General features: G+C 45.2%; 1 protein-coding gene across 15 annotated transcripts in view, besides 5 other annotated features; it reads right to left on the bottom strand.

Moving 5' to 3' along the window:
- The window catches only part of ACAT1 (acetyl-CoA acetyltransferase 1), a 30,899-nt gene that overhangs the window by 15,119 nt on the left and 360 nt on the right, over window positions 1-15,420 (bottom strand). For 5 of the 15 annotated variants that reach the window (NR_170162.1, NM_001386677.1, NM_000019.4 and 2 more), the window contains exons 1-2: window positions 10,807-10,918; window positions 531-578 (exon numbers count right to left, since the gene is read on the bottom strand). Coding sequence is in view for 3 of the 15 variants with exons in the window: in NM_001386677.1 (NP_001373606.1) it covers window positions 531-578; window positions 10,807-10,878 (120 nt within the window). In the remaining 12 variants the exon portion in view is untranslated. Of the gene's footprint in view, window positions 1-530; window positions 579-3,283; window positions 3,383-3,625; window positions 3,843-4,505; window positions 4,600-10,558; window positions 10,690-10,806; window positions 10,919-15,420 lie in introns of those variants that run through there. The other 10 variants (NR_170163.1, NM_001386685.1, NM_001386691.1 and 7 more) reach the window with 9 other exon arrangements.
- Window positions 8,242-8,301: an enhancer, noted in NCBI's record as "active region_5482". NCBI's record gives its function as "activates an Ori minimal core promoter by ATAC-STARR-seq in GM12878 lymphoblastoid cells {active_cell/tissue: GM12878}" and the evidence as "EXISTENCE:reporter gene assay evidence [ECO:0000049][PMID:35858748]".
- Window positions 8,362-8,481: an enhancer, noted in NCBI's record as "active region_5481". NCBI's record gives its function as "activates an Ori minimal core promoter by ATAC-STARR-seq in GM12878 lymphoblastoid cells {active_cell/tissue: GM12878}" and the evidence as "EXISTENCE:reporter gene assay evidence [ECO:0000049][PMID:35858748]".
- Window positions 10,707-11,116: a silencer, noted in NCBI's record as "silent region_3876". NCBI's record gives its function as "represses an Ori minimal core promoter by ATAC-STARR-seq in GM12878 lymphoblastoid cells {active_cell/tissue: GM12878}" and the evidence as "EXISTENCE:reporter gene assay evidence [ECO:0000049][PMID:35858748]".
- Window positions 10,707-11,256: a biological region, named in NCBI's record as "ReSE screen-validated silencer GRCh37_chr11:107991956-107992494".
- Window positions 10,718-11,256: a silencer, noted in NCBI's record as "fragment chr11:107991956-107992494 (GRCh37/hg19 assembly coordinates)". NCBI's record gives its function as "represses an EF-1alpha promoter that drives an FKBP-Casp9 reporter gene in an ReSE screen in K562 erythroleukemia cells {active_cell/tissue: K562}" and the evidence as "EXISTENCE:reporter gene assay evidence [ECO:0000049][PMID:32094911]".

Below are 15,420 nucleotides of genomic sequence, written 5' to 3'. Positions count from 1 at the left end.
CTGTGACAGTTCTCTCCTTACACTTGTCTTCCACAATCTCCTATTAAGTTTAGAGATAAATAACAGAATGGTTGCTTAGATTTTGATAGAAGATCTTAACTAAGTCACTTTAGTGACCCTTACAAAACAGAGACTCTTCAGAAGGTCCTAGGAGATGCTGTAATGGCCCTCCTTGTCTAATTCCCAACTGGTCCACTCCCTCTCTTCTAGGATCTTCTATACAGTCTCTGCTTGTACCACACACAATACAATGCGAGTCCCTGTGAGTAAAAGAAGAACACTGCCCAGTTCTAGAGGGAATGTTGTTTTGTAGCAGACTATAAGGAAGCAACAAACATTGGCAGAGACTAACTGACATGTTTTTCTATTATAGTCATCTACTTTAACTGAATATTTGAATAGTTAGCTATTCCTAACTGTTACATAATCCTGCTTTGACTTTCACATGTATCCAAATCATAAGTATATGCATTTTTATTGACATTTCCTTTAAATTCTGGAAATTTTAAAGCACAATTTAAATTACTTACCTTCAAAGTGGGTTTTGATACATAACTCCGTTCCACATATCTTATTTCCTGTAATATAAATATTTATAATGTTATAATGTAAAAAATATTAAACTATATCATTTTATATTTCTCAGTGATAAGGTTATAGTGGTTTCTTCCTGCATCCTTATGCTTTTATTTCCAAGTTTTTTGTGGTCAGAATATATCACTTTTAACAATTAGAAAAAAATGACTGCTTTATAATAAACTTTTCTAATTAACTATTCATTGGAAATGTACGTTTTAACTCTTAAGTTTACTATCTTAAAATTTCCAAGTCTTGGCCAGGCGTGGTGGCTCATGCCTGTAATCCTAGCATTTTGGGAGGCCAAGGTGGACGGATCACCTGAGGTCAGGAGTTCAAGACCAGCCTGGACAACGTGGTGAGACCCAGTCTCTACTAAAAATACAAAAGTTAGCCCAGCATTGTGGCACATGCCTATAATCCCAGCTACTTCAGAGGCTGAGGCAGGAGAATAGCTTGAACCCAGGAGGCGGAGGTTGCAGTGAGCCAAGATTCTGGGACTACACTCCAGCCTTGGCAACAAAGCAAGACTGTCTAAAAAAAAAAAAAAAAAATTCCAAGTCTTTCTTAAATATAGCTTTCTAAAATGTAGTTTTGAGTTAAAGCTAGGTTCTAAATTATTTAGTCTTAGAATCTAACAAGATATTTTCATTTTTTAAGATTGTTTTCAAGTAAAACTTGCTGTTTCTCCCTATCCACTTCCAACAATTGTCTGATTTATATGAGGCAAACACATCTCATATAAATATGACCTATAATAGCAGATAAATTATTTCTTAAAAAAGGAAAGAGTAAACATCTTGCCCCTACTACTTCTCAGTTCTTTCCACACTTCTTAGGAACAAATGTCAACAGTAGGCTGGGCAAGTGGCTCACGCCTGTAATCCCAACACTTTGGAAGGCTGCGGTGGGCATATCACTGGAGGTCAGGAGTTAGAGATCAGCCTGGCCAACTTGGCGAAAAAACCCCGTCTCTACTAAAAATACAAAAATTAGCCAGGCGTGGTAGCGGGCACCTGTAATCCCAGCCACTCAGGAGGATGAGGCAGAAGAATTGCTTGAACCCAGGAGGCGGAGGTTGCAGTGAGCCAAGATCACGCCACTGCACTCCAGCCTGGGAGACAAGAGTGAAACTCCATAATAAATAGATTAATTAATTAATTCTGACAACGCAGGACACAATTCAGAGACCTACTGATCTGAAATTAGACTATCAGTAGCTGGGCGCAGTGGCTCATGCCTGTAATCCCAGCACTTTGGAGGCCGAGGCGGGTGGATCATGAGGACAGGAGTTCAAGACCAGCCTGACCAACATGGTCAAACCCCGTCTCTACTAGAAATATAAAAGTTAGCTGGGTGTGGTGGTCCATGCATGTAAGCCCAGCTACTCAGGAGTCTGAGGCAGGAGAATCACTTGAACCTGGGAGGCAGAGCTTGCAGTGAGCCAAGATCACGCCACTGTACTCCAGCCTGGGCGACAGAGCGAGTCTCAAAAAATGATAATAAATTTAAAAAATAATAATTTAAAAACTTACAAAAAAAAAAGTTCCTACTTGTAGTAAACATGCCGGTCACTGCCTCTCCAAACACATGTCTTTCTCAAAGGACAACCCTAAGTACTTACAAGGTGACTCCCCTGCCTCTGGCCAGAGCTGATGGGATCAAGAATGGAATGGACTCACCCAAGCTAGGACCCAGAGAGACTGGGTCAGTTGGATGACGGTGGGGACTGGGACTGAAAAGTCAAAAGGGGCTGGAGCTGACCAGCCAATGCCACAGAAAAGCAGCGGTTAGAACAAAGAGAAAAGCCATGAATACACTGAGAAGCAAAAGAATGCAACATATATACTCAGAGACAGGAGAAATAGACCATGGCACACCACAAGAGGCAAAAGATGGCTTTGGTTAGTGATTTTCTAGCTTGGGTTCTGGCAGGGTCAGTTGCAATTTATTTTGTTTGAAAATTTTCATATATAAAAATAAAAAATAAACCAGAACTCCTGGACTCAAGCAATCCTCCTGCCTCAGCCTCCCAAGTATCTGCGACTACAGGCACACATCCCTGTACCCAGCCAGCTGCACTTTATTTCCTATCCTTGGATGTCCTAGTGCTTGCCCATTGTATCTCTTCAAAAAGTCCCCTTTCTGAAGACTCCTTAAAGAACTAAAACTAGAACTACCATTTGATCCAGCAATTCCACTACTGGGTATCTACCCAGAGGAAAAGAAGTCATTATATGAAGGCCAGGCACAGTGGCTCATGCCTTTAATCCCAGCACTTTAGGAGGCTGAGGCGGGCGGATAATGAGGTCGGGAGTTCAAGACCAGCCTGGCCAACATGGTGAAACCCCAACTCTACTAAAAATACAAAAATTAGCTGGACGTGGTGGCACACGTCTGTAATCCCAGCTACTCGGGAAGCTGAAGCAGGAGAATCGCTTGAACCCAGGAGGCAGAAGTTGCAGTGAGCCGAGATCACGCCACTGCATTCCAGCCTGGGCGACAGAGCAAGACTCCATCTCAAAAAAAAAAGTCGTTACACGAAAAAGACACTTGCACACGCATGTTCATAGCAGCACAATTTGCAATTGCAAAAATATGGAACCAGCCCAAATGCCCATCAATCAACAAGTGGATAAAGCAAATGTGGTATATATACCATGGAATACTACTCAGCCGTAACAAGGAATGAAATAATGGCACTCACTGCAACCTGGATGGAATTGGAGACTATTATTCTAAGTGAAGTAACTCAGGAATGGAAACACCAAACAGCTTATGTTCTCACTCATAAGTGGGAGCTGCGCTATGAGGACACAAAGGCATAAGAATGATACAGTGGACTTTGGGGACTCAGGGGAAAGGCGGGGGGTGGGGGTGAGGAATAAAAGACTACACATTGGTTTACAGTGTATACTGCTCAGGTGATGGGTGCACCAAAATATCAGATACCACCAATAAAGAACTTATTCATATAATCCAACACCACCTGTTCCCAAAAGCCTATTGAAATAAAAATTAAATTTTAAAAGTCCCCTTTCTACTTAGCTAGTTTGTTCCTTGTTTACTAAGCCACTTCTCTTCTTTCAAGCTTCTGGTCCAGTTTAATGGAATCTTCCCTGGTTCTCTCCACTTTACTCTGGATCCCATTTCCAGTTGCCTTTTCAAAGATGGCACAGTTATCCCTTCCTTCTCCTCTACATCATTCACCCCTTTTACTTCTGGATAATTCCATAAGCATACAAACAGGATCTGATTCCCCCCACCTAAAAAACAAAGTAAAAACAAATAAATGTCTCTTGACCCACATTCCCGAGCTTTCACCTCATTTCTTTTTGAAAAAAGGCTGGAGTGCAGTGGTGCGATCTCAGCTCACTGCAACCTCTGCCTCCCAGGTTCAAGCAATTCTCCTGCCTCAGCCTCCCGAGTACCTGGGACTACAGGCATGCGCCACCACGCCCGGCTAATTTTTGTATTTTTAGTAGAGACAGGGTTTCACCACGTTGGCCAGGCTGATTTTGAACTCCTGACCTCAGGTGATCCGCCTGCCTCGGCCTCCCAAAGTGCTGGGATTACAGGCATGAGCCACTGCACATGGCCTCACCTTACTTTAGTTCTCTTTGGCAAGAAAGGTTCTCCAGGTTACCTACAGTGTCTATTTGCTTGTCCTCACCTCCTCTTTACAGTTCAACCCACTCAGATCAGGATTTTATTTCTGCCAGTTTACCACTGTTGGTTCTGAGCAACATCAGCAATGTCTGTGTAGCAAAATCCAACTCGCTATAATTGTCTCACTTAACCTTTTAACACATCAGCAAGACTGGGCTCACCTTTCTTTGAGAAATATGCTGAGCAGTTAAGAGCCTGGGCTTACCAGCTCAGTATTCTTTGTTTGTTTGTTTTGTAGAGACAGAGTCTCACTATCTTACCAAGCTGGTCTCAAACTCCTGGGCTCAAGCGATCCTCCTGCGTTGGCCTTCCAAAGTGCTGGGATTACAGGCGTGAGCCACTGTGCCCTGCAAGCTGAGTATTTTTGAGCAAGTTACTTAGACACACTTACCTTGGTTTTCTTAAATACCCTCCACAGGCTGTTATGAGAATAAAATGAGGTAATATGTATAATCCACTGCAGAAACCCTTCCTTGTCTTGGCTTCCATTACAAACGTGGACTCCTTCCTACCTCATTAGTCATATTTACCTCAGTCTCCTTTACTATCTCATCTTCCCCTTCCAACCTCCAAGTGCTGAATGTCCCAGGGCTTTGTTCCAGGCCTCTTTTAATTTAACTTCACTATATCCTTAGTTATATCCAGTCCCATGGCTTTAAAAAGCATTTATGAGGCCGGGCACAGTGGCTCACGCCTGTAATCCCAGCACTTTGGGAGGCCAAGGCAGGCAGATCACGAGGTCGGGAGATAGAGACCATCCTGGCTAACACGGTGAAACCCCATATCTACTAAAAATACAAAAACAAAATTAGCCAGGCGTGGTGGCGGGCACCTGTAGCCCTAGCTATTTGGGAGGCTGAGGTGGGAGAATGGTGTGAACCCGGGAAGTGGAGCTTGCAGTAAGCCAAGATCACGCCACTGCACTCCAGCCTGGGTGACAGAGTGAGACTCTGTCTCAAAAAAAAAAAAAAAAGGCTTCTATGTGCTGATGATTTTCCAAATTTCTATCTCCAACCCTGACCTTTCAACTGACCACCAGACTCACACCCAAGCGCCAACCTGACAGCTGCAGGTGAATGTCCAAATCATAGCTCTCAATTTCCAACCCTAGAAAACCTGTTTGTGGCCAGGTGCAGTGGCTCACCCCTGTAATCCCAGCAGTTTGGGAGGCCGAGGGGGGCGGATCACGAGGTCAGGAGTTCCAGACCAGCCTGGCCAACATGCTGAAACCCCGTCTCTACCAAAAATACAAAAAAATAAAAATAAAATAAAATAAAAAAATAACAGGGCATGGTGGCACGCGCCTGTAATCCCAGCTACTCCAGAGGCTAAGGCAAGAGAACTGCTTAAACCCGGGAGGTGGAGGTTGCAGTGAGCTGAGATTGCGCCATTGCACTCCAGCCTGGGTGACAGAGAAGACTCCATCTCAAAAAAAAAAAAAAAAAAAAGAAAACCTGTTTGTTGCCGGTATTCTCAGGTGCTCAAGCCAAAATCATCCTTCATCCTTCCCTTTATTGCAATCCCTAAAATCCAGATACTGTGAACAGCGTCCAAAACATAACTAAATTCGTCCACTCTGCCTCATGTCTACTGCTGCCACCTAGTCCAAGCCACCATCTCTTGTTCCTATTAATGGCCTTCTACCTAGTTCCCTGCCTCCCCTGACACCTCTCTACAGTCCCTCCAGCTTTGAAAAATGTAAATCAGATCATATCACTCTACTGCTTAAAATAATTTAACAGCTTTTCATTGCTCTTGGAATTATATACAAATTCTTTACCTCATCCTCCAAGAACCTGCATGATCTGGCTCTAGGTTTTCTCTCCAAATTTACATCACTCTTGCTCTGTGCCAGCCACTGGCATCTCTTTGTTCTAAACCCTATCCCGATACCTCAAGGTCTCTGCAGTGTGCCTCTGCCAGTAATAGTCTCCTCAGGCCGGGCCTAGTGGCTCATGCCTATAATCCCAGCCCTTTGGGAGGCCGAGGCAGGTGGATCACTTGAGATTAGAAGTTTGAGACCAGCCTGGCCAACATGGTGAAACCCCGTGTCTACTAAAAATACAAAAATTAGCCAGGTGTGGGGGTGGGCACCTGTAGTCCCAGCTACTTGGGAGGTTGAGGTGGGAGAATCGCTTGAATCCAGGAGGCAGAAGTTTCAGTGAGCCGAGATCGCGCCGCTGCCCTCTAGCCTGTGCAACAGAGTGTGATCCTGTCTCCAAAAAAATCAAAAACAAAACAAAACAAAAAGTCTTCCCAGCTCTCCATGGCTGGCTCATTTTTATTCTTCATGTCTTTTCTTTTTTTTTTTTTTTAGACGGAGTCTCACTTTGTCACCCAGACTGGAGTGCAGTGGCGCGATCTCGGCTCACTGCAAGCTCCGCCTCCCAGGTTCACGCCATTCTCCTGCCTCAGCCTTCCAGGTAGCTGGGACTACAAGCGCCCGCCACCACGCCTGGCTAATTTTCTGCATTTTTATAGAGACAGGGTTTCACCTTGTTAGCCAGGATAGTCTCGATCTCCTGACCTGGTGATCTGCCCGCCTCAGCCTCCCAAAGTGCTGGGATTACAGGCGTGAGCCACCACACCCAGCCTATTCTTCATGTCTTTTCTAATGACACATTCCCAGAGTGGTCCACCCTAACTACTCTATTTAAAGTTACCCTCTACTTTTTCCTCTCTTTTATATGAATATCTTTATTTCCTTCAAAGCACCTCTTACACTGTAAGTATGTGGTTCACATCTTTGTTTTATTATCCACCCCTCCAACATAATACAGGCTTCCTGATGGCGGGATGGTGTCTCTTGCTCACTGTTACATCCCTATGACTTAGCACAGTGCCTAGCGCTCCTTCAATATCAGAAACGAATGACAAAATTATAGTATGGTCAGGACACTGAACCATATAGTGTATAATAATACATGCTGAATGAACACAACCCATTAAGTTTTATCTACATAACACAATTATCTTTCAGGGAGGGCTCAGCCATGCCAGGCAGAGGTCAGCACTCCTATCTCAGCTTCCACAACGCCCGTGCACATTCTAATTGTTCCAGAATATATAATTTTGTAACCCTCAGGTGGCTTTTCTCCTCACTAGACTGTGAATTCCAAGAAGAGACTGATTTTATTTATTTTCTATCCCAGTGATGGCAGCAGACACAAAACAAATATTTGAAGACAGTCTGAAAGTTACCAATAACTCAGAGAAACAAAATTTCAGCTACAGTAAATGTTATGAAACCAGCAAAATTGATCATGAACTAGAGAGTAACTGACGGCCTACTTTACATGGGAGAGTCAAAAAAGGCCTTCTAGCAATGTTAATGGAGCTGAGAAATGAATGTTAAAGAGTCATCCTTGGAAAGATCCAGGAAAAGAACATTTGAGGCATCAGGAACACGTAGGACTAAGGCCACGAATTCGGAACAAAATTGGCACACATACTAAGTATAGAAAGAAGGGTCCTGTGGCAAAAGCAGAGTGAGCACGGCAGCAGCTGAGGCCACAGAACTAAGTAGGGCCCAGCAGATCATAAGGGTCTAGATTCTGGCCTATGGGCAATGACAAGCCACTGAAAGCTTTTATGTTATAAAAAGACCACTCTGGCTGCGGGGGAACTGAGTGTACTAGGGTAAGATTAGAAAAAGGGAAGGGGGCCAGGTGTGGTGGCTCACACCTGTAATCACTTTAGGAGGCTGTGGTGGGCAGATCATCAGAGGTGGATCACCTGGTGAGCTGGTCAGGAGTTCGAGCCCATCCTGACCAACATGGTGAAAGCCCGTCCCTACTAAAAATACAAAAAGTAGCGGGTGTGGTGGCACATGCCTGTAATCCCAGCTACTCAGGAGGCTGAGGCAGGAGAACTGCTTGAACCCGGGAGGCCAAGGTTGCAGTAAGCCAAGATCGTGCCACTGCACTCCAGCCTGGGCAACAAGAGCGAAACTTGATCTCAAAAAATAAAAAAGAAAGAAAGAAATTAGCAACAGGAAGGAAGTAGCATACAGGCTGTTAGGTCAAAGGGAAGAAGCAAGGTTACCAAAGCCAAGGGGTCAGGATCCCAGCAGAAGCGGGAACCACAAGAGAGACAGACACTGCCAGATACAGACAGACAGACAAATTATTCTGGCTTCTCCCTTCCTCCTATCTTCCAATCTTCCACTGGTGCCTTCCAGTGGCTACACCCAGCCAGAAGCCAGCTGATATTGGTCAGCCTACAGTAATGCAGACAGACTAGGGGAGGGAAGATAAATGAATCTGGGAGCAAATAAGCCCAAGACTGGCACAATACAGGAATTTTTTTTTAAGTCTGAGTATTAAAAGAAGCTGAATAAAACTGGATCAAAACACAAAACAGTTTCAAGAAGGGAGTGGTCAATAGTGTCAAATATAGGATAAAGGTCAAGAAGAAAAAACTTGGGCTGAGCACAATGGCTCACACCTGTAATCCCAGCACTTTGGCAGGCCAGGAGTTCAAGACCAGCCTGGCCAACAGAACCAGACCCCGTGTCTACAAAAACTAAAATTAAAATAGATTTAAAAAAATAATTAAAAAACAAAGAAAAAGGAAATCACTGTATTTTTCAGCTTCAGTGGCAAAGAAATTTAACTGCAGAGAGTTAAGGAGAAATAGATGCAGAATACATGGGAGGTAATGAGTAAAGACCACTCCTTTGACCAGAGAGAGAAAAGTGATTAGAGCTAGAAAGGCAATGTGCTCCAATAAAGTCCATAAAGATTTGTTGACCATAAAAGAGACCTGGTAAGCAAAGGGAAAAGAGCCAATGTAATGAGAGGTCAAATTCCATTCTACAAAATAGCACAGAAAACTGGAAATCCTGTTTATAGTTCAGTAAATGACCATTTAATTCAAGTGTCCAATACAACTGCTTCCTAGAGTTCAGTAATATGAATGTCACATATCATACATTACAGCATGTACAGGCTTATTTTTTTCATGAGGAGTATTTGTGTTTCATTTTAAGATCTTTTTTTTTAAGACGGAGTCTCACTCTGTTGCCCAGGCTGGAGTGCAGTGGCATGATCTCAGCTCACTGCAACCTTCCCCTCCTCCCGGGTTCAAGCGATTCTCCTGCCTCAGCCTCCCAAGTAGCTGGGATTACAGGCGCCTGCCACCACACCCAGCTAATTTTTGTGTGTGTGTGTATTTTTAATAGAGGTGGGGCTTCACCACGTTGGCCAGGCTGGTCTTGAACTCTTGACCTCAAATGATCTACCCACCCCGGCCTCCCAAAGTGCTGGGATTACTGGCATAAGCCACCTCAACCAACCTGATTGTAAGATCTTAATTAAACCATAAATTAAGAAGGTTCTGAACTTTTTTTTTTTACATCTCTAGAGTACCTAGTTCACCTATGTCACCTAGTCAATACTGACTGAAACCCAAGATAACCTAATTACTTTCTTGTGATTTCTTCACTCATCCCATGAGACTAACAAATAGGCTAAAAACTCATCTTCCCTGGAAACCTACGCCTTGTGACTTTTCTATTATCTCAGTCACCCAGGATCAATTTTAGACTCTTTCTTTTCCCTTGGCTTCGCACCCTCACTCCCTAATTGTCAAGTCCTAGACTGGTTCTTTTACAATCTCTTGCAAAGCTCCTACCGCCAGCACCCTTGTGCAAGTAATGTTATTCTACGCCCAGACGTAAGAACTAGAGTGACCTACCATTGCAACAAAAACAAACATATCAACAATCCCTACTTAACTAGGGTCAAGTCCATACTCACAACATAACTGGATCTCCAAGCTTATTGCCCCCATCGACCTAGAAAACTCAAGCTTCACCAACCACACCCTGAAGGTCTCTACCTATTCCTGAGGCTTTGCCTGACAATCTGTGGTGCGTACTCCCTTGCTTACGCATGTGGAGAATAAATTCTTTGAGACTCTGCCCCTGCTGTGTTCCCTAAACACAACGGTCAGAAGAGCGACAGCCCTTGGAACGCCCTCAGTATGTGAGCTTTGCTCATATGTCAAGTATAATTTATTGTATTATCTGAGTAGTCATTTGTTTTCCCTGATAAATTTCAGGCTGCTCCAAAAAACATCTGTTATGATCACATGGTGCCCTCTCCCCTTGTATGCCCAATGATTATCTATTGTATTAAAAAAGAAAAGGAACCTCTCCTGACAATAACGCACACAAATATGTTTTAAAGAAAATCTCGGGAGCAGCTGCACAGGCCTGCAAAGAGACTCTCCCCGATCCCACCGCTCAGGCCGGGCCAGCGCCAATCCTGGCGGTCCTGCCCGCCCAGACACGTGCCCTTGTTTGACACACCAGTAACGCTCATTAAGATGATTACGCCGAGACCTTGGAAGTAGAAACGCGCTGTAAAAATAGGCGAGTCCCTGGGTGTTATCGGAGCACTTAGGCGGTTTTTGGACCAGAACCCGTCGCGTGACTGTCCTGGGGCCTAAGCCGCGCGCCCGGGCCGCGGGAGCCGCAACGGCCGCGGGCTGGAAGCTTCCGAGGCGGGGACTCCTCGCATCCCGGGTCTGAGTGCTGTGGGGACGAACCCCGCTCACCTGCACCAGCCTCCGGAGCAGGGGGCTGCGGCTGCGGGCGCCGCTGCGCAGAAGTGCCGCCAGCACAGCCATGGTCGCAGAGGGCTGAGTATCGGCTCCACAGGCGTAGACTAGCGGCCTCCTCCCCAACCCCGCACCCCTAGCGGCCCGGCGCGGGCACCGCCCATCCCGCTTCCTCCAATAGTCGCCTCTCAGTCGGCGGCGATTGGCCGGCAGCCAAGGGCGGGGCGGAGCCTGGCGCTGGGACACCGCAGCCTGGGCCAGGAAAGGTTGACGAGTGAAGGACGTGGATGGAGACACTGGCGCTGGGGTCAACGAGCACCTGACACGCTGCTGGCTCCCGTGTCCACCAAGTCTAACCTGCCGGGGCCGGTGGTTTATGTGTAATCCGAGATTTTTCGATTTACTGAGCATGTTTCCCTTAGGCCTACCCAGCACAAACTCATGAAAATATTTTAGGATTTTTTTTTTTTTTTTTGAGACAAGGTCTCACTCTGTCACCCAAGCTGGAGTGCAGTGACGTGACCACAGCTCACTGTAATCTCGACCATCAGGGCTCAAGCGATCCTCCCTCCCCAGCCATCCCAGTAGCTGAGACTACAGGCGAAAGCCTCCACAACCAGATAATTTTTGTATTTTTTGTGGAGACGGGGTTTCACCATGTTGGCCAGACTGGTCTTGAACTCCTGGACTCAAGTGAGCCTCCCTCCTCGGCCTCCCAAAGTGCTGGGATTACAGGCGCAGGCGACCACGCCCAGCAAATTGTTGTATTTTTTTTTTTTTGTAGAGACTAGGTCTCCCTATGTTGCCTAGGCTGGTTGCTGACTCCTGGGCTCAAGCAGACGGCCAGACTCAGCCTCTCAAAGTGCTGGGATTACAGGCGTGAGCCATCACACCCAGCCGTGAAAATATTTTGAAGCAATCAAATTCCAGGCTCAGTCCAGATACAAATATGGGTAAAAAGGCCTCAGGTGATTCCAGTCCCCAACCTTCAACCACTCCAGCTGAGACCCCAGACATCATGGAGCAGAGACAAGCCATACCCACCATGCTGTCTGAATTCATGGTCCACAGAAACGAGAGAAAACAAATGGTTGTTATTTTAGGCCATTATGTTTTGGAGTATTTTTTTTTTTTAAGATAGGGTCTCGCTCTTGTCACCCAGTCTGGAGTACAGTGGTGCAATCATATCTCACTGCAGCCTCAAACTCCTGGTCTCAGGGGATCCTCCTGTCTCTGCCTCCCAAGTAGCTAGGGGATCCTCCTGTCTCTGCTTCCCAAGTAGCTACGTAGCTAGGACTACAGGCATGCTCCACCATGCTAATTTTTTTAATTTTTATTTTATATAGAGAAGGGGTCTTGCTATGTTGCCCAGGCTGGTCTCAAACTCCTGGCCTTAAGAGATCTTCTGGCCTTGGCCTCCCAAAGCACAGATATTATAGGCATAAGCCACCTAAATAGGTCTGTTTGGGGGTAATTTTTTTTTTTGAGACAGTCTCGCACTTGTCACCCAGGCGCGATCTTGACTCACTGCAACCTCTGCCTCCTGAGTTCGCCTCAGCCTCACGAGTAGCTGGGATTACAGGCGCACGCTGCCAAGCCTGGCTAATCTTTTGTATTTTAGTAGAGACGGGTTTTCACCATGTTGCCCAGAGGCTGGTCTCAAACTCCTGAGCTCACGCAATCCGCCCCCACTAGGCCTCCCAAAGTACTGGGATTACAGGCGTGAGCCACTGCACGCGGCCAGGGTAATTTTTTAATATAGCACCCTGTCTTTAATTTCCCCATCACTCCAGGTTTGTCCCTTAAAGTCCCCTGTGATTCCTGCACCGAAGAACCTCTCTATTCAACAGCTCACCAAGGCCTACCTCCTTCCTTGGAATGTCACACTCACACCTTTCCCTTCTACCAGAGGCCAAAGACAAATATTTTTCATACTGGGCTGCTTCGAGAATTATTGAAAGGAAGTCATTACATTGTATGTCAGTGTTTAAACTTTGTGTGTGTGTGTGTGTGAGAGAGAGAGAGAGAGAGAGAAACAGATATTTCTAACTGAAAAAGTTGAATTGTTAAAGAAATGACTCAGAAAACTAAAGGTCTGGCCTCATAGAGATTACCAGTTGTGAGAGGCCAAAGCTGATGACTAGGGTATCACACAGTAAAAGATGACTGGTTAGGCTGGGCGTGGTCGCTCACGCCTGTAATCACAGCACTTTGGGAGGCCCAGGTGAGTGGATCATTTGAAGTCAGGAGTTAAAAGCAGCCTGGCCAACATAGCAAAACCCCATCTCTACTAAAAATACAAAAATTAGCTGGGCATGGTAGTGGGCACCTGTGATCCCAGCTACTCAGGAGGCTGAGGCAGGAGAATTGCTTAAACCTGGGAGGTGGAGGTTGCAGTGAACTGAGATCACACCACTGCACTCCAGCCTGGGCAACAGAATGAGACTGTGTCTCAAAAAAAGAAGAAAAAAAAAAAGACTGGTTACATAGCTATGTACATAGTTCTTAATATGAACCAGTTCTTTTACAGTTTAATTTTAATTCTCCCAAAAATCCACTGAATTAGGGAGTAGCATTATCCACATTTTCCAGAAGTTTGTCCAAGGGCACAAAGCTAGTAGTTAGTGACACAGTTGCAATTGGAATCTAGGCAGTCTGGTTGCTAGGTCTAGGCTTCTAGGCACTCACTACACTAGTTGTGTCTTAGGAGACACCTGCCCTAGGAGAAACCTAACTAGGAACATAGAAGTCAGCTGTAATTGGACAATTCTGCCATCAGAGGCACTACCAGGAAAAAGTGCCACTATGTTCATCAGGACAGCTTCTAGAGAAGTTCAGAGACATTTAGGAGCATTGAGGGGAGAAGAATAGTACATTTATTTCTGGAGCTACAGCAGGCAAGCTGCTCTTTAAAACTAAACTTCAAAAAAATAAGAGTAGCTTTATCACCAATATGAGCACCAGGCAAAAATGTAGCTAATAATTTCATTTAAGAATCTAGGACTTGGCCGGGCGCGGTGGCTCACGCCTGTAATCCCAGCACTTTAGGAGGCCAAGGCAGGCGGATCACAAGGTCAGGAGATCGAGACCATCCTAACACGGTGAAACCCTGTCTCTACTAAAAATACAAAAAATTAGCTGGGCATGGAGGGGGCCACCTGTAGTCCCAGCTACCTGGGAGGCTGAGGTAGGACAGTGGCGTGAACCCAGGAAGCGGAGCTTGCAGTGAGCCAAGATCGTGTCACTGCACTACAGCCTGGGTGACAGAGCGAGACTCCGTCTCAAAAAAAAAAAAGAAAGTGACTAGATTAACATTTCTTCTGTGAAATAGAAATGGAGTGTTGGAATGAAAATTAAATACAATTAAGAGAGAATTATTTTTGTTTGTATTTTAAAATTTATTATTATTAGTACTAGTATTTTGGTAGACACAGGTTCTCACTATGTTGCCCAGGCTGGTCTCCAACTCCTGGGCCCAAGCAATCCTCCCTCAGTCTCCCAAAGTGCTGGGATTACAGGTGTGAGCCACCACACCTGGCCAAAGAAAAAATTTAAAAACATTTTTTGCATATCTGAATTTGTGGCTTTGGATTATCATTCCTGTCATAGCAGGCAATAGTGTCTGGACAGATGTATTAATGAAGAGCTACTCAAAAAGTGGTTTATCTGGGATTTATTACATTTGTCAAGGAGATCTAGTCAATACCTCCATCTAGTGGCAAACTTGTAAGTGGAGACTTAGGTCTTGCAAAGTATTATTAAAATATTGATAAAATAAAGCCCTCTGAAATGTCCATGAGACCCAGAGTGGCTTTCTAGAAGTAGAAGTTAGTTTTAGGAATATTAGAGCAATATTTTCACAGCAGGAAACTAGTGGAAAATTAAAAACATTTAAGAAAAACTTGTGGGTATTATATTTATAATACAAAGATGTTTGATATTCATTTCCAAGTAAGTTCTTCTACAACGAACAACTTCTGTCAAACTTAGACTACTGGAATAACTCGTTGTACTACGTTAAACAGTGTCCTTCCAAAAGATATGTTTGTTTAAGGGACAGGGTCTCTGGCCAGGTGTGGTGGCTCATGCCTGTAATTCTAGCACTTTGGGAGGCCAAGGAGGGCAGATCACCTGAGGTCAGGAGTTCCAGACCAGCCCGGCTAACATGGTGAAACCCTGTCTCTAGTAAAAATACAAAAAATTAGCTGGGTGTGGTGATGGGCTTCTGTAAGCCCAGCTACTCAGGAGGCTGAGGCAAGAGAATCGCTTGAACCCAGGAGGTGGAGGTTGCAGTGAGTCGAGATCGTGCCACTGTACTCCAGCCTGGGCGACAGAGCAAAACTCTGTCTCCAAAAAAAAAAAAAAAGAGAGAGACAGAGCCTTGCTCTGTCACCCAGGCTGGAGTGCAGTGGTGCGATCATAACTCACTGCAGCCTCCTAAGCTCAAGTAATCCTCCTGCCTCAGCCTTCCAAGTAGCTAAGACTACACGTGTGTCACCATGCCCACCTAATTTTTATTTTTTGTAGAGATGGGGCACTCACATTTCCACCCACTTTCTCTTCAAGGCAATCTAGGCTTAGTCTATCATGTGCCTCAAACTTCTTCCTCTG

Source organism: Homo sapiens, chromosome 11 (genome assembly GCF_000001405.40).
Source record: "Homo sapiens chromosome 11, GRCh38.p14 Primary Assembly".
NCBI classification, from domain to species: domain Eukaryota; kingdom Metazoa; phylum Chordata; class Mammalia; order Primates; family Hominidae; genus Homo; species Homo sapiens.
The sequence above is the reverse complement of the archived record's forward strand: the minus strand, read 5'-3'. Positions and strand labels throughout refer to the sequence as shown.